Raw genomic sequence first — 18,908 nt, forward strand, 5'->3', positions numbered from 1 at the left:
TCCTCACTTACTCTACTAACATTAGTTCATATTGTTTTTGTTAAACGGTGCTGCATGGCTTTCATTCTTCATTGAGTCAGTGCGTGAAAATGGATGGCTTTCCCCGTATCTTTGGGTCTTATTCTGAAGTTTTCTGTGTCATGTAAAACTATGATCACATACATCTATTACGCTTTTCTCTTGTTAATCTGTCTTTGTTATAAGCGTGGTGGCTGTGATTCTTACGGTGGGGAAAAAGGCTCACCCCTCTCCACCTATATAGTTTTGGTAACAAGAATGGGATGGCTGGGACACCTGACTTGCCCCAGAGCCTGCAGATGAGGTCCTGGGATAACTGACAAAAAGATAACAAAGAAAAGTAATAATTTTTACCAATGTCATCTCCCCTGAATCTCTACATATAGTACCCAGTTAAGAATGGAAGGTAAAAATTACCTTCATATCCTTCCCCTTCCAAACTCAGCTTAGCAGGAGAAAATCATTTGTTTGAATTATGACTCTTTTGTAAATTTGGCTATGGGCCCCCAATTATTAATGATCCTTTTCCCTCTCATTGACAGCTATTATTTTTCTGTTTATCTCATTTTGTGTTCTGAGAACTCGGCTTGGCTTGCCTCCTGTTGGGGCACATGGGTTATCACGTTGGTGTGTACAGATGATAAACCAAAAGCCTGTGGACCCCATAAAAAGAATGCAGCTGAATAGAAATGTGGGTTGGCCCCATTTGTGGTTAGTGAGCCAACAGCCACCAGCTCTAAATAAGTTATCTATGTATCTTTTCCGTTTTTGCTGTCTTTGGGGATGACTCTGGATCTTGTGAAGACTGCATGTTTATATCTCCTTGGAGAAGCTTTATGCATCCTTGGTTAAGTCATAAAAGGTTTATTGATTTTGGTTCTGAGTCATATGTTAGGTAAGATTGGTTTAAAAGAAAAATAAATAAATAAATAAGAAGAAGTCAGAAATATTTGATGTTTTCGTCCTGGCTAAAATCTGATAAGGGATTTGAAAGGACTGAAAGGACTTTTTCTTTAAAGAGTCCTATGGTCAGAAGTTGGCTTAACTAGCTGATATTCAGACTGTCCCTTTTTTTTTTTTATAGTCTCCTCTTCTGCCTGTTGGATCCTGGTTCTCCCATGGGAATATCAGAGTGCTGACAACCAAAAGATAGGATCTAAGGGAGACTTCTAGTGACCCTAAAACCCCTTGAGGAACACAAAAAAGGCACCAGTGACTCTCTTTTTGGTGGTCCTCTGTCTTCCTCATGGATCCCCAAGAGCTGTGGGTGGGTTACCCTCAGGTATGAAACTCTACTGTCTTTTACAGTGAGATCCCTTTGATTTTGTGGGGCACCAATGGTTACTGTATGCTTTGAAAGGGCACTTGAACTTCGGGTGGGTGGAAACTGATTAGTCACTGACAGAAGCTCTAATTTTTAAGGTAACTGACAGTGACTGCAATAAATGGTTATTACTGCAGGGGCCAGACAGAAACTGACAATAAAAGGTAATTTCCTACAAGAAAAGTCACTGGCTTCATTGATAGGGGGAGGATCTTAGAGATGGGGCCATGGGTTGATAATGGGATTATTTTTGGCAATTGGAAGGTCTCAAAGCCCTTGAAACCAATGGACAAGTCTCCCATCAAGTAGTGAGTTAGTCACGGAATGGGCTAGTTGGCACTGTCACTCACCGGCCTTGAGGGAACATTCTTACTGCTGGATACCCTGTGGGAGTGCTGCACGGCCCAGCCTCATGGCATTTCCCTTCTTAGCTTTTGCTTCCTCTCTGGAAAATCCAGGATTCAAACATAAAAATGAGATTTTGGATTTCTGGAAATCTAGGTGCTCCATCTTCTAACTACTCCTGTCTTCTGAATATGTAAGTATTAGTCCTGGAAGTTACAGATGCTTTGTTTGCCCTATTCATTAATGGGCTCCACCCTAATCTCAATAATCTGGTTAAGAAATTGAGGCTAAATTGAAAAGTTTCTGATCTAACTAAGTTGGCCTCCAGGCCTCCAAAATATGACTTTCTGGCATTCAAATGATGATTTTAAACAAGCTTTTGATTTTCTCCCAGGCTTGTCTATTACTTTGTAAAATCCCATTTTACAAAGTAATAAATAGTAAATTCCTATGATTTTATGTTGCCTGGGCATCAATTTTTAAATTTTTCTCTATGTCTCATCTAACTGACACATGTGAACCTAATTCCCTTCCGAGCCAAGGCTCTCATAGAGAGTGGCTATCTTGATCTACCTGTCAAGGCATGGATAGATTTTATAGCGACTCCCCAGAGAGACATCTCAAGACCAAATTAGAGAAAAATGCAATAAATTCAGTTTTAGCAGAAAGGGATACTTTGTCCATCCAGATAAGCTTTGGACACATTCAGACTTAAAATTTAGCCCACAGTCCCTACAAAATTGACCTCTGATAATAGCTATATGCCAAAAGGTCTTTCTTGAGGAAAAAACAATCAAACAAGCAAAAATCAAATAAAAACAAACATTCATTCCTTCTCTGTACCTTGAGATATAAATTTTCTCTTTTGTTAATAAAAACAAACATTAATTCCTTCTCTGTACCTTGAGATATAAATTTTCTCTTTTGTTCCTCCTAAGAGTCATCTCCTTAGAAGTCCAAACTTAGGGTTGCCTAACTATTACCTAGGGCAATGGAACTGGTAGTTAAAGACATATAATCTGAAGGGAAAGGGAAACTCTTTAAAAACTGACAAATGAAAAACCTTAACAAAAGTTGTAGAATAGAAGGATGAAACTGAAGCCCTACTTTTCACCATATACAAAAAGTAACTCAAGGTTGATTAAAGACTTAAATGAAAGTCCTCAAATTATAAGCATCCTAGAAATAAACCTAGGAAACATCATTCTGGACAATAGCCTTGAGAAAGAATTTATGACTAAGTCTTCAAGAACAATTGCAACAAAAACAAAAATTGTCATAGGACCTAATTAAAGGGCTTCTGCATAGCAAAATAAACGATCAAAAGGTAAACAGGCAACATACAGAGTGGGAGAAAATACTCACAAGCTATACATCTGACAAAGGTCTAATATCTAGAATCTATAAGGAACTTAAACAGTTCAACAAGCAGAACACAAATAACCACATTAAGAAGTGGGCAAAGGATATGAACAGACACTGCTCAAAAGAAGACATACCAACAAACATATGAAAAAATGCTCAACATCACTAATCATCAGAGAAATGCAAATCAAAAACACAATGAGATGCTATCTCATGCCAGTCAGAATGGCTATTATTAAAAAGTCATAAAAAAAAAAACAGATGCTGGTGAGACTGTGGAGAAAAGGGAATGCTTATACAGTGCTGGTGTGAATGCCAATTAGATCAGTAACTGTAGAAAGCAGTTTGGAGATTTCTCAAAGAACTTAAAACAATTAGCATTCAACCAGCAATCTCATTACTGAGAATATATCCCAACACAAATAAATTATTCTACCAAAAAGACATATGTCCATCACATATGATGACTCACATGTTCATTGCAGCACTATTCACAATAGCAAAGACATAGAATCAACCTAGGTGCTCATCAGCGGTGGACTGGATAAAGAAAATGTGGCACATATACACCATAGAATCCTACACAGCAATAAAAGAGAATGAAATCCTGTCCTTTGCAGCAATATGAATGCAGCTTGAGGCCATTAAACTAACTAAACTAGTGCAGGAACAGAAAACCAAATATCTTATGTTCTCACTTATAAGTGTGAGCTAGACATTGGATACTCATGGACATGAAGATGGCAACAATAGACACTGGAGAGCAATAGAGGAAGGAAAAAGGGAGGGGCATAAGGGTTGAAAAACTAACCGTTGGATATTATGTACAGTATCTAGATGACAGGGTAGTTCATATTGCAAACCTCAGCATCAAGCAATGTAGCCATGTAACCATCCTGCATGTGTATCACCTGAATCGAAAATAAAAGTTGAATTTCTTCCTTTAAAAAGCTGAGAAACCTGCTTCTTTCTGTGTATTTGTGAATGTCTGTATATGTGTGTATTGAGAATGTGTGGTATTTTTTTCCTGCAGTTTTAGTACCAAAATATATTCTTTACATTTAATTAACTTAAAGAAAATAAATAATAAGCACTTAAGTGTTTTATCAAAAGGAAAAATATAACAATTAACTTAAATGTCTTTTAGTTCATGTGATCTTAGATAATCTTTGGTAAATAAAGTTAGTTTATAATTTTTGGTAAGATAAAAATAGAAATGTTTTTAAAATTGTCAGCATTGATTGTAATGCAAACATACTTTTTTTCGCAAGAGTTTTAGTCAAATAAACTTGTTGCTTCCTAGATGTTTAAGAAGAGGGAAAAAAAGTTTAACTTTTAACAATTTTTGTTCCTGTGATATTTTTGATACTTGTCTAATCTGTTGGTGAGCTAACACTATAAGAGTCAGCTATTGGGCTCTCCCAAAACCTTCCACACATCTTGCTGTGAGCTTCTGTGTTTGGTTTTAAACTTCTGTATTCTGGGATCTAAGCAGGTAGCCAAGGTGAAGGCTGGGAACATGTATGTGTCTGTAGCACTTGGGCTACCAGCTGCAGGACAGGGCCAAGCCCAGTATGGTTGCATCCTGTGTCCAGTGTCTCAAAAGATTTGGTTAAAACAAGGCTGACTGATACTTGGTAAGCTTGGTTTTACTTAAAAACAGAAAAATAAACTTTAAAAAATGACTTGCTTTGTTTTCCATGAGCAATTTAAATATAATTATTAAATAAGTAAATGAGATAAATGTAAATAAAATAACATTTATATATACATTTATCAAAGTTTCAAATTTTTTTTAGTAATTTGAAGTCTTAAATTCATGGTTTGTTAAATGATAAATAATAATAAATTATCTGAGCCAAGTAAGTACTGAAACATTAATTATTAAGCATAAGTTTAAGTATACATACTAAGTATACATACTTCAACATCTTATTTTTATACAGTATAAAATAGCTACATATATCTGGATCTGTTAGTAAACAAAAAATTGAGAAATGTATCTTTCTAAAAATTATGAAATGGCTTTTAGTCTATAAATGCGATATAAAAGTTAAAAATTACTTATTTATTAGATTTTCATGGAAATTAAGGTTACTAAAAGTTAGAAATTCAAATTAATATGTGTAATTAAAGTACTACATATAAGAAAAAGAACATACATGCGAAGTATACAAAAAGATAGGTGTTTTTGGTAAGGAAATTAAAGTACTAGAATTTTTCTTTTGTTAAGAAAAAGAACTAGAACTTTGTCTAGAGATTATTTAAAGGGTATTTAGGAGTGAAGGAATGAAAGAAGAAATAACGTAAAACTGAATGGATAAAAAAGTTGTAAAAGAGTTATAAATAATGAATCTAATCAAACTGATTTTTTTGATCAAACTGATTAAACTTACACAAATTTATTATTAAGATTTTTAAATGCACCTTAATATCAAAAGTACACTGACAAAAAACTAGAATGTGGTTTTATCTTTTAAACAAGGTTTTTATGTAATAATGATAAGAGACAATAATTGTTTAAAAAATACTTTGATTGAACTGCGAGACAGAGAAAAAGAGAGAGAGAGAGACAGAGAGAGTCTATGTTATCAGAATAGCTTCCTGTGCTTCTTGTCTTCTTTATTGGGTCTTTGATTACCTAGGAAAACTAAATATTAAAAGGTTAATGTGTTTCTATAACTATGTAGCTTCTTGTGTTTACTTTAAAAGTATTTTAATTATCACACTGGTATGATGAATATTATTTCCCAGAGACCTGTGATTTTATTTTGATCAAGTATTTTTAAAACTTTTGACTTTTTTTTTTTTGACAAACTATCCAAAATCAAAATTGAGTCCTTTTGACCTCAAACCATCTTTTGGACATTTTAGAGGGGCCCCTGGAAGTCCAAGAGAGAAAGATGATAAACTAATTAAGCTTATTTGTTATGTTAAAATTATCTAGGAAGCACTGTCAATTAAGAAATATGTTCAACTTTCTTGGAGTTATATTTCTGTGGTTATGTTACTGACATATGTGTTCCAAATTTGTATAAAATTCCTAGAAACCTAACATGTTACCAGTTATAAGTTTGGTTATTATATGAAAGTGTTTTCTGCCACAAAAGAAAACGCAAATGTCATCATTATTATAATGAACTCCAATCAGATCTTTAACCATTATATATATTTTTTATTTTATTATTTTATTTTGGGATGGAGTCTCACTCTATCACCGAGGCTGGAGTGCAGTGGTGTGATCACAGCTCACTGCAAGCTCCATTCACTGGGCTCAAGGGATCCTCCCACCTCAGCTTCCCAAGTAGCTGAGACCACAGATGCACACTACCATACCTGGCTAGTTTTTGTATTTTGTTATAAAGATGGAGTTTCACCATGTTGGCCAGGCTGGTCTCAAACTCTGAAGCTCAAGCAATCTACCTGCCTCTGCCTCCCAAAGTACTGGGATTACAGACGTGAGCTACCCACCTTGCCTGGCCTCTTTAACTGTTTTAGTTTTCGTTGTCCATAGTTAAGTGTTTTCTTCTGATGCCTCTTCTGAAAACTCTTTGCAAACATTTATAATCCTAAAGTATGTCTTCAAGGACATTCAGGGAAGGCATAGAAAGAACTCTAACAAACACAGGTTTCTGACAACTTTGAGGCCATATCTTTGGACTAGGTAAGAGTTGAAAAACTCTAAGGAAAAAACTGGAATCATAAAATTTCTCACCCAATTTCAAGCAGAACAAAAATTAATTGCCCAGGGCTGAACCAATGAAGTATTATGATATTTTCTACTTCTTTTTGTTTGAAACATTGCTGATTCTTTTTACGATTTGTTTTCCAGATTCGATAAAACTTTTTTTTAATTTTAAGTTAATCTATAGCTTACAGTAATTTAGTGATGTTAATTTTTACAAACAGAATTGAAACATTTTCTTATTTCACCCTGCTTGATCCCTTCAAAATTTGGAAACTATTCAGAGTATTCTTATTTTATGGCAATACAGTTATTTGTGTAGGTTCAATAATAATCTGTTCTTGTAACAGCACAACTGGTAACACTGGTTGTATTACCAAGGCTTTGCCTGAAATTTTGTATCTTCCAGTATGACCAGATAACTTTGAGGAACTAAGGTTGAGTTTGTAAAGCCAATAAAAGAACTTGGAAAAATTGGCCTGGTACCTTGTCTACACAGTCCCCTTATAGGGTTCCTAGCCTTGCAATAAATAATTTCACTTTCTGACAAACTCAGAAATCTCAGGATATTTTGGAAACCTGGAGAAGAGAGGAATTTACCCAGTTCGTAAAGGTGTTACAGGCACAGTCTGATGGTGAATCTTACCTTGGCTTCTTGGCCTCAAGAGGGTTTTTAAAAGTCTAATGCAAAAGCCTTTGTAAAAATGTTCCATCAATGCCAACTTAAAAAGAGCTTATGTGATCAGTAATTATTCTTGCTGCAGTCAGGCCAAATTAATAAAACTAAACTTATTTTATACACAAATTGGCCTTACTGTGATTATCTTTATCAAAATGAGGGTGAGTGGAGAGAAAAACTATTAAGCACTTGTATAAGACTCTACCTACATGTTGTTGAGGGTTTATTATCTCCCTACAATGTGGACTAGATCCAATATCTGGCTGTGAGTCTCCAAACTAACATTTCCAATTTTCTCTGATCCTTCTGGCTTGGAATCACTGTGATTAAAACTGCTTTTCATCTTGCTCTGCAAGATGAAATTATGCCATTTGATATAGACTTCAGAGAAGTCAGCACAGCAGCTTATATATAAAAAGTATTTGTGTCTTTTGCTGGACGGACTACTCAGAAGTTTCACTGAGACACCTGATGCAAACTGCAACCAGGAAAAGTCTGTCACATTGCCACTGCCTACTGTCACTCATCTGAAAACACTTTGAGCACCAAAGATCTGAAAATCTTAACTGGCTGCCCTCTGGACTAAAACATTGAGTTTATAGTTTATTCTAACCATCAATATTTTTCTTTTATTTCCATAAAAATGTCTCTGATTCTTCAAATGATACAAAGACTTGACTATGGTGGAAGCCCATCTGCAACACTACTGCCTAAAATGAGACATAATGGTTAGCTGTTTAACTAGAATGGCCTCTTGTTGGGACTGAGATTGGTTCAGTAGCTTAGGAGACATTCCATCTACTCAATTTCTGAACTGTGAAACTTCTTGGGAGATTTTAGACTGAGGAATGTTGGGACTTAAAGATAATACTCCAAAGTGGAAGCCTCAGAAGCAAAGTTTCTCACTGACCTTCTCTGCCCTCCTATATCTCACCTCTCATTTTCCCACAAGGTTAGCAGTAGAAACTAGAATTCCTCTTTCCCAAAGCAGGTCATAGAAACCAGAATATCTTTTGCCCGAAGCCAGTCATAAAACATAAAATATTACTCTAACCTTCCCTTATTTTTCTGTGTAAGAATTGACCATGAAGAAATTACTGACTTACCTCGTTTGATTGTAGGTCATAAGGCCCCCATTCCAAAAAAGGTGCTGCCCCATACTTGGGAGGAAGAAAGCCTCCACAGAGAAGCCAAGAAGAATATGAACAGATAGGCCTCAGTCTATTAGCATTAGATCATATCTTTTTGTTCAATTACAATTCTACATGGCTGTTACTTCTTCATTGAACTTATGCATAAAAATAGACAGTTTTGCCTGTAACTTTGGGCTTTCATTCTGAAGGTTTCTGCATTATGTGAAACTATGACCAAATAAATGTGTTAACCTCTTTGGTATAGGTGCATCAACTATGACCTTTATGATCTGGAGAAAGGGATCACCCCATTTTTACCACTATAATAATAACAAGTTGAAATCCACTCCTAAATAATAGTAGTATAGGCTTAACATATCAAATCACAGTGTTTTTCAAAAATGTTTTATCAGCTGGGCCCGGTGGCTCACGCCTGTAATCCCAGCACTTTGGGAGGCCGAGGCGGGTGGATCACAAGGTCAGGAGATCGAGACCATCCTGGCTAACACGGTGAAACCCTGTCTGTACTAAAAATACAAAAAAATTAGCCGGGCATGGTGGTGGGCGCCTGTAGTCCCAGCTACTCGGGAGGCTGAGGCAGGAGAATGTTGTGAACCCGGGAGGCGGAGCTTGCAGTGAGCCAAGATGGCACCATTGCACTCCAGCCTGGGTGACAGAGCTAGACTCCGTCTCAAAAAAAAATAAAAAAATAAAATTATCAAGTTTTTACTTTCAGAGCCACTATTAAGAGGTGCATGTTCTTGATAATGTTTACACTTTATAAAAGCTATAGTTGCAGAGACTGAATAACTACCTCCAGAAAACAACAGAAATAGATGGAAGTGCCCTCCAGGTCTTTTTCTTAGCTATTCCCTTAGGCTACCTGAATATCTCAGACGCTGAGTGCCTGAGAAATTACTGTGATAGCTATTTCATCTAAAAAATGTTTGCACTATAACTGAGATCAATCCAGATGAGAACAGTAGGAATTTCAGAAAATGTTAGAGCCTGAGAGAGAATATTTTAGACCTCATAAATGACTGGCATAATTGTTAACCATGCGAAGTATATTAGGTTTGCTCATTCTTTGGGCTTGAGGTGGGAAGAATGAAGCAGTATGCAGTAAAAGGAATATCAGACAGATGTCTTCAACTTCTTTTTGCTTCAGCATTTAACATCAAGTGACCCGCAGCAGTTTATAAGATCTTTGTGAGCCTCAGTTCATTTGCACGCATGTAATGTGTAGTTAAATACTAAGAACTTGTGGAAAACACATAACATACCTACAATAAGCATAGTTACTTGCACACATGACACCCTCAAAGAGTCATTTCCATTCCCCTCCACCTCGTTATTTTTTGTGCTTATTTTTGGACTTATGTAATTGAAATTTTAGGAAGTAGAGTCAAACTAGTATCTCTAAAAACTTAAAGCGTACTGATTTCACAATTTCAAATAAGCAATATCTTTGTTTAGGTACTTTCAAGGATCATAAGAAAAATAATCTCACCCCTGTTGAGAAATTTTATTTTGTTGCCTCCCAGCTGTCACTTAAGATTCACTTAAAATCTCTCTGATTGACTCCCATTTTGACCATAGATTGGGGCTTGCTGTGAAAACCCACTGGTTTGTATTTATTTTTTTCTCTCAGGGAAAATAAGAGACTCTAAAAATACTTACATAAGATTAGGCAATAGACCAGATCTTTCTTTCCTGAAAATTATAGTTCAAAGTATATTTTATTATGTTTCTATTTTGATAGCAATAGCTCCAAACCATGCTTCATATTCCCCACTTTGTCCTACATGCATTTACTATCCATTTCTCATAACATTATTTCCTGTGGTCTTTGTAGGAATTGCTTAGATTGCTTTATTAGCTCTTATAGTACACTTTGGTGTTTGACTGGCCTACATAAACATAGTTTCATTTCTTTAAAGTAATAATTAAATTATCATTTTGTTTTCTTAGATCCTGCCATTTGCTAACTATATCAATTTTCTCATCTTGCGACAGTTACTTGATTTGGCCATACCATTTCTGCTTTTCTTTTGTTGACATACCTTTTGCAGTTCTTGAACTTCCAACATGTTAATTACTCTGAAAAACACATTGCTAGGAATTAATCCTATTCTTCATGTGACTCTCAATTTATGTGGAGGATGTCTTAGTCCATTTTTTGTTGCTATAAATGAATACCTGAGGCTGGGTAATTTAAAAAAAAAACAAAAAGAGGTTTATTTTGCTCACAGTTCTGCAGGCTTGGAAGTTTTATGTTGTATGGCGCAGGCTTCTGGTGAGGGCTTTCAGGCTGCATTATAACACAGCGGAATGTTAAAGGAGAGTGGACAGGTGCAAAGAGGCAAAACCTGAGAGGCAACCTGGCTTTATAACAACCCATTCTCAAGAGAATGGATATATTCTTCAGCAGCAAAACTTACTCCCTTGAGATGGCATTAGTCTATTTATGAAGAATCCACCTTCATGACCAAAACACCTCCCACCAGTCCCCACCTCCCAACACTGCCACATTGGGGATCAGATTTTAACATGAGTTTTAGCAGGGGAAAATTATATCCAAATCATAGCAAAGGACAAATGAAATACCCTCTTGCCTGGTTGCTAAATATACTGAAAGCCACTGTTTGAAATCCACTTTAAACTATTTCATTTAACAGTGTAATTGCATCACAGTTAAGCCTTTTTGGACTTTCCTTTTTGGATTTATAAAAAGTTATTTGGGTAAAGGGAATATTCATCTTTGCTTCTCTTTTACAGTTTTAAATATATCTGCTTAGTTTCCAGTATTCTTTCAAGATTTTGTAAAAGGAAACTCTCTCCTCTTCTCTAAATAAGTTTAAATTTATCTCTTAATCATTTGAAGAAAGACATATTAATTCTAACTCAAGTGATGTCTCCCTACTTTTAAGTTGGAATTATTTAATGTATAACTTTATCAGCATAAATATCTGTTTTGTGAATAGTAAAAGCCATTCTACCATTGTTTTAATTATCTATATCAATAATTGTTTGCAAGCTATTTGTAACATTACTAGCTCAATCAAATTGATGTTAGACAATTATATATTCCTAGAGTGGGAAGAAAAATAACCACCTCTGCTGAACCGTGATAAGATTGTAGGTATCACAATTTTGCATTTATCTGGAAGAAATTAATTGGAAAAGTATTTTTTAATATGTAGATGATATCTTATCACTGCAACTTTCTCTCTTTTGTAAAAAAGAAATATAACTTCTACAGAAGTGCATAAAACATAAATATAAAGCTTGATGTTTTATTACAAAATGAAAACCCAAGTAACCACCTCAAGGTCCAGAAAGAACATTACCAGAATCTCAAAAGCCATTCTTATGACCCTCACAATTATTACCTAGTTTCTTTTGTGAGGTGATCACTATCATGACATTAACACTATGTTAAGATTTTTTACTGTCTTTATTCTTTATATCCATGCAATAACCCTCTAAGAGTGCTTCTATTTTCCTATTGTTTTTGCTCATCATTTTTCCATATTATTCTATTTAATAGCAATTAATACATTTTTAATCTTTTAAAATGTTATTAAATAAATATACCATAATTTATGTATTTAGTCTATGGGCAGTTTGATTATTTCTAATTTTGTCAATTACAGATAATACTGCCATACATATCTCTGAGTACATACCATTATGTTTTCTTTGTAACTCGTAATTATATAATCAGTCCATATTTATAATTTTAATAAATAATGCCAAATAATTTTCTAGAGTGGTCATTAAACTTTGACTTTGACCAGTAGGGATTGAGAGTTCTTGCTGCCCCAAATCATTGCTTACACCTCTTGGTAAGGTGTAATTCTACTTTTTAAAAGATTTTTATTCTGCTGGTAGAATTCCCATTGAGATTTTAATTAGTCATTTCCTAATGACTGATGAAGCAGTTACTATATTTATTATCCATTTGGATACTCTCACATTTGAGAGCCCTGTTCAAGTCTCCTGCCAATTTTTCTTTTGAATTACCTTTTCTTAAATTTTATTTATAGGGTTTTTAACTGTATTCTGAACATGAACCTTTTGTTCATTATATAATTAGCTATATAAACAAATCTATGGATTTTTTTGGACTCTAATCAACAGAAACCTGATTTTTACGTAATCCAAATTATAAACTTTTTAAAAGATTATTACCTTTAAGGGTGCTCTGTTTAATAAATTATATATATTTTTTCTGTATATCATCTTTTAGGTATCCAAAATTCCCCAAATGGAAGTAAGATATAAAGAAAGAGTGACACTTTACTTACCATACACAAATATACATATACATACTAAAAAGTAGCAAAATTAGACATTTTTCATTTTGATTTCAACTTTAAATTTCATTTATTCAAGGTCATTTGACCTTAACCCACTTTCCATCAAATACATGTCTTTGAAATTTACTCACTTTTAACAACTGCATTTCTGTTTATTGAGGATAGGTGGGGTATCTGGTAAAGAATGCTTCAGTGTGTGAGGTGAACAGTATTTCTAGGCTGAAATTGTTCTATGCATTGAAATTCATGAGAAAGAAAACAAAAAGAGGGTGAACAAGAGATAATAAACTTCATGAATTTACTGGCTGAATGCTAGTTTCAGTAGGCAATAGATTTGTGGAAAATTATTTGAGAAAATTATTAAAATAATTTCTGATAAACCTACATTTGGGGGTAAAAAGACAGAAGACACATTTCAATCTGTAATATCAATATAGCCTTGAAATACTAATAAAATTTGTTTTTTCTTGGCTATTTGTTTCTTATGAACAAAAGTGAAAATTACTCTACTGTCTTCACTGAAACCAGACATGCTACCTTTTTACAGTTATATTTGGTCTTTATACTATTTTTAGCTAAAAGTGCTAATACCATGTAATGTTCATATATTTTTATTTTTTGAGAATTTCAACAGCATTTCTTAAATACTCCTTTTTGTCATATATCTGTGAAAATTTCAACCCTTGTCTCAATTATTGTTGTTTTATAATAGGATATAATGTCTAATCAATGTTCACTGTTACTCCTCCCTAAACAATAATGTCTAATCAATGTTCACTGTTACTCCTACCTAAACAATCCTTCCTTTATATACAAAAGGAAGACAAAATAGACCCAATTTGCAGAATGCTTTGCTGTAGTCATGCTAAGCAACATGATTCAATAATCAACTTTGTTAAAAATAATGATGTACTAATTTGTAAGACAGTGCTGTGTAACATTGTTTGAGGTGAGGGAGAGGGCAGAAAAGCAGATGTTTCCAAGGAATTTGAGTGGTTTAAGCAAAAAAAAAAAAAAAAAAAAAAAGAAGACATAATATCTTAGTCTGTTTTGAGTCTGTTTTGTGTTGCTATAAAGGCATGCCTGAGGATGGGTAATTTATAAAGAAAAACTATCTATTTGGCTCACAATTCTGCTGACTCAAAGGTTCAAGATTGGGAATCTGGGTGGGGGCCTCAGGCTGCTTCTATTCATGGTGGAAGGTAAAGGGGAGCCAGTGTGTGCTGAGATTATGTGGTGAGAGAGGAAGCAAGGTGGGGGTTCCAGACTCTTTTTAACAACCAGTTCTCATGGAAACTAATAGAGTGAGAACTTACTCTCCAGGGAAGGCATTCATCTATGCATGAGGGGACTGCCCCATGACCTCCCATTAGGCCCTAACTCCAAATTAGGGATCAAATTTTAACATGAGATTTGAAGTGGACAAATATTCAAGACAATTTTGCATGAAAATATTTATTTGCATTAAATGTAACAGAGGTCAAATATGGAAAGTCAGTCAAGTATTCTGGACCTGTTTGCTGATTATCTGTAAGTTGTCCATTTTCAGAGGACTCTGCAGCAGCTTTGGGAGCCCCTAGTGCTATGTGGAATGCAGTTTGAAAACCACTGAATTACTGTATAAAAGTGGTGTCATTGTAGGAAAAGTTTAGAAGTAGTTACAGCCCCTGCTTGGAAAAAAAATCTCTGAGAAGACCATTAGAGGGAAATAGAGAAGACACATATATGGATGTGTACATATGTGAAAAAGTGGAAATAGCATGGTCTCTTTAGCATACTGTCGCATTATCCCGAACAATTACGTTAAGTTCTCTGAATTTAAGTTTTCAACACATGCAATTAAGAATATGATATCTACTTCAAAGGGGTGTTATAAGGGGAATTGAATTAATGTAGGTTAAAAATGCTTTGTTTTTAAGAATACATACTTAACAAATGTAATGCAATAGTATCCTATTACAAATACATACTTACACATGTAAGGCAATAGTATACTAAGTATTGGGGAAACTATTTGCTGAATATGCTGTTATTGTTCCTATGGTTTCTAATATCATCTACTAGAGCAGGGATTAGCAAACCTTTTCTATAAAGTACCAGATAGTAAATATTTTCAGGTTTGAGAGCCATATCATATTTGTTAGTCACAGCTACTCTACTCATGTTAGAGCACAAAAACCATCATAGATGATATGTGAAAAAGTGAGTGTGGCTGTTTTCCAGTAAAATGTTAATTATAAAAACAGGCAACTGGCAGAATTTGCCCAGTGAACTACAATTTGCAAACCTCTGTACTAGATCCTTTCAAACTCAAAGTATAGTCCATAGACCACCTGAGAGCAGGAAAAGCTACATAAATTGTGTGACCTAATACAAAATGAAAATGCAGAGCCCCTTGTTTAAAAATAACTAAGAATATTAAAATGCTGACAGCAGAGCATGATTTCAAATGTGGGTTTCTTTTGCAGACTTACAAGTCACACATCTGTGAATCCAGCCCTGCCTGGGAGCTTGTTAAAAATGCAGGCCTTGTCTCTGACCTATTGAATCATAATCTGCATATCAGTAAGGTCCCTGGATGGTTCATATGTACATATGTTTTGAAAAGTACTGATAGACTAAAATAATTTTAAAACTGTATTTCTGGATAGGAGTTCTCTAACAAAGGCCAAGTAATTACTTCCATCTATGAGAAATCTACTTTAAAATTCTTACAAACTGTTTATAAAATAATTGAAAAATTAGCATAGTCAACAAATATAATATCCTCCTGTATTCCCCAACTACTCCCCAAGTCAAATTATTTGCAATATGTTCTCAGTTTCTTCTTCCATTCTCATTGCATCTAATTAGCTACTGGTGCCGATCCCTCCCTCCCAGAACATTTTCTCAGTCTGGCAGCACCTCTCAGGAGAGTGTAGTAGTTAAGAACATTGGTTCTAAAGCTGGACTGCTCGACTTTGTATGCTGCCTCCACCTCTTACCAGCTGTTTGGTCTTGGGCAAGCTACTTAATCAATGTCTCAGTTCCTTCTTCTCTTATAAGGGATAATAACTCATAGCATTATTGTGAGGATTAAATGAGTTTTTATATGTAAACACTTAATTAGTGTCTGACACATGGTAAACACTTGTGAGTATTAGATAATATTATTATCTATCAATTCCCATCACCTTTATAATACTTCTGGCTGTCATAGTCAGTTATCTGAGCTCGTGCAACATTAACTGTTGTCAATAACACATGGAAATTAGGATTAGCTTCACAGTTTAGGGAGCAAAGTTAGCCATACTGCTGAATACAGGAATAGCAAGAGGAGAGTTTTTTGTGAGCACAATATAATGGAATCCAGAAAATAGTCTCAAGAATGAAATCAGCACATAGGAATCAAGCCAAAGAAATCAAGTATAATAAATCATTTGAGTCCGATGAACCTACAAAACCTAAAATATTTAGGTTATGGCCCTGTATAGAAAAAAAAAGGAAATTTACTACCTCTACAGGATGACAGAATGCAGAGCAGAATTGGTGGGATTTTCAGGAAGAACATGGTCATTGAAAGAATATTCCAAAATAAGACTAAGAAGAGTAAAGCTGGAAAGAATCCCAAGTCATCTGCCCCTGGAGTGTGAGTGGGTGCTAGGCCAGAAAGGCCAGAATAGTCAGGACGTTTGTATTTATCTTCATTGCTGAATCATTCGGGGACTCAATTCTCATAAAGAAGGACAAAAAAACCTGCTTCTAAAATATACTTTTAGTGAGATCAATATTATCATTAGTCAGAGTAAACTTTGTTGATTCTAGGGAGGCATAGGGAATGTGGCAGAAAGCTTTGTAATTATTTCAATGGTTAGGGTACCACAAATATCATTCTAAAAAAACCCAATTGTGTAAACTTGTTTTGACATCATCGTGTCATAAGATCAAAGCTCTTTGGCATGACATATAATTTTCTACTTAGAAAGTCATATATTGGCTAGACGTGGTGGCTCATGCCTGTAATCCCAGCACTTTGGGAGGCAAAGCCAGGAAGATCACCTGAGGTCGGGAGTTCGAGAACAGCCTGACCAACATGGAGAAACCCCATCTCTACTAAAACTACAAAATTAGCTGGGCTTGGTGGTGCATGCCTGTAATCCTAGCTACTCGGGAGGCTGAGACAGGAGAGTCGCTTGAACCTGGGAGGTGGAGGTTGAGGTGAGTCAAGATCCCGCCTTTACACTCCAGCCCAGCAGCAAGAGCGAAACCCTGTCTCCGAATCCAGCAGCACATCAAAAATCTTATCCACCATGATCAAGTGGGCTTCATCCCTGGGATGCAAGGCTGGTTCAACATATGCAAATCAATAAACGTAATCCAGCATATAAACAGAACCAAAGACAAAAACCACATGATTATCTCAATAGATGCAGAAAAGGCCTTTGACAAAATTCAACAGCCCTTCATGCTAAAAACTCTCAATAAATTAGGTATTGATGGGACGTATCTCAAAATAATAAGAGCTATTTATGACAAACCCACAGCCAATATCATACTGAATGGGCAAAATCTGGAAGCATTCCCTTTGAAAACTGGCACAAGACAGGGATGCCCTCTCTCACCACTCCTGTTCAACATAGTGTTGGAAGTTCTGGCCAGGGCAGTCAGGCAGGAGAAAGAAATAAAGGGTATTCAATTCGGAAAAGAAGAAGTCAAATTGTCCCTGTTTGCAGATGACATGATTGTATATTTAGAAAACCCCATCATCTCAGCCCAAAATCTCCTTAAGCTGATAAGCAACTTCAGCAAAGTCTCAGGATACAAAATCAATGTGCTAAAATCACAAGCATTCTTATACACCAATAACAGACAGAGAGCCAAATCATGAGTGAACTCCCATTCACAATTGCTTCAAAGAGAATAAAATACCTAGGAATCCAACTTACAAGGGATGTGAAGGACCTCTTCAAGGAGAACTACAAACCACTGCTCAAGGAAATAAAAGAGGATACAAACAAATGAAAGAACATTCCATGCTCATGGATAGGAAGAATCAATATCGTGAAAATGCCCATACTGCCCAAGGTAATTTATAGATTCAATGCCATCCCCATCAAGCTACCAATGACTTTCTTCACAGAATTGGAAAAAACTACTTAAAAGTTCATATAGAACCAAAAAAGAGCCTGCATCACCAAGACAATCCTGAGCCAAAAGAACAAAGCTGGAGGCATCACACTACCTGACTTCAAACTATACTACAAGGCTACAGTAACCAAAACAGCATGGTACTGGTACTAAAACAGAGATATAGACCAATGGAACAGAACAGAGCTCTCAGAAATAATACCACACATCTACAACCATCTGATCTTTGACAAACCTGACAAAAAAAGAAATGGGGAAAGGATTCCCTATTTAATAAATGGTGCTGGGAAAACTGGCTAGCCATATTTAGGAAGCTGAAACTGGATCCCTTCCTTACACCTTATACAAAAACTAATTCAAGATGGATTAAAGACTTAAATGTTACACCTAAAATGATAAAAACCCTAGAAGAAAACCTAAGCAATACCATTCAGGACATAGGCATGGGCAAGGACTTCATGTCTAAAACACCAAAAGCAATGGCAAACTACGATCAGAGTGAACAGGCAACCTAGAGAATGGGAGAAAATTTTTGCAACCTAGTCATCTGACAAAGGGCTAATATCCAGAATCTACAGTGAACTCAAACAAATTTACAAGAAAAAAACAACTACATCAAAAAGTGGGTGAAGGATATGAACAGATACTTCTCAAAAGAAGACATTTTTGCAGCCAACAGACACATGAAAAAATGCTCATCATCACTGGCCATCAGAGAAATGCAAATCGAAACCACAATGAGATACCATCTCACACCAGTTAGAATGGCGATCATTAAAAAGTCAGGAAACAACAGGTGCTGGAGAGGATGTGGAGAAATAGGAACACTTTTACACTGTTGGTGGGACTGTAAACTAGTGCAACCATTGTGGAAGACAATGCGGCGATTCCTCAAGGATCTAGAACTAGA

General features: G+C 35.5%; 1 long non-coding RNA gene across 2 annotated transcripts in view; it reads right to left on the reverse strand.

The window, feature by feature from the left end:
- LOC105372044 (uncharacterized) overlaps positions 1-18,908 on the reverse strand; it is a 74,947-nt gene that overhangs the window by 21,535 nt on the left and 34,504 nt on the right. Inside the window, exon 4 of one of the 2 annotated variants that reach the window (XR_935328.2) lies at positions 13,022-13,101. The exons of the other annotated variant lie outside the window; for it this stretch is intronic. This is a non-coding gene — a long non-coding RNA (uncharacterized LOC105372044). Of the gene's footprint in view, positions 1-13,021; positions 13,102-18,908 lie in introns of those variants that run through there. 2 annotated transcript variants of the gene reach the window in all.

Source organism: Homo sapiens, chromosome 18, assembly GCF_000001405.40.
Source record: "Homo sapiens chromosome 18, GRCh38.p14 Primary Assembly".
NCBI lineage: Eukaryota > Metazoa > Chordata > Mammalia > Primates > Hominidae > Homo > Homo sapiens.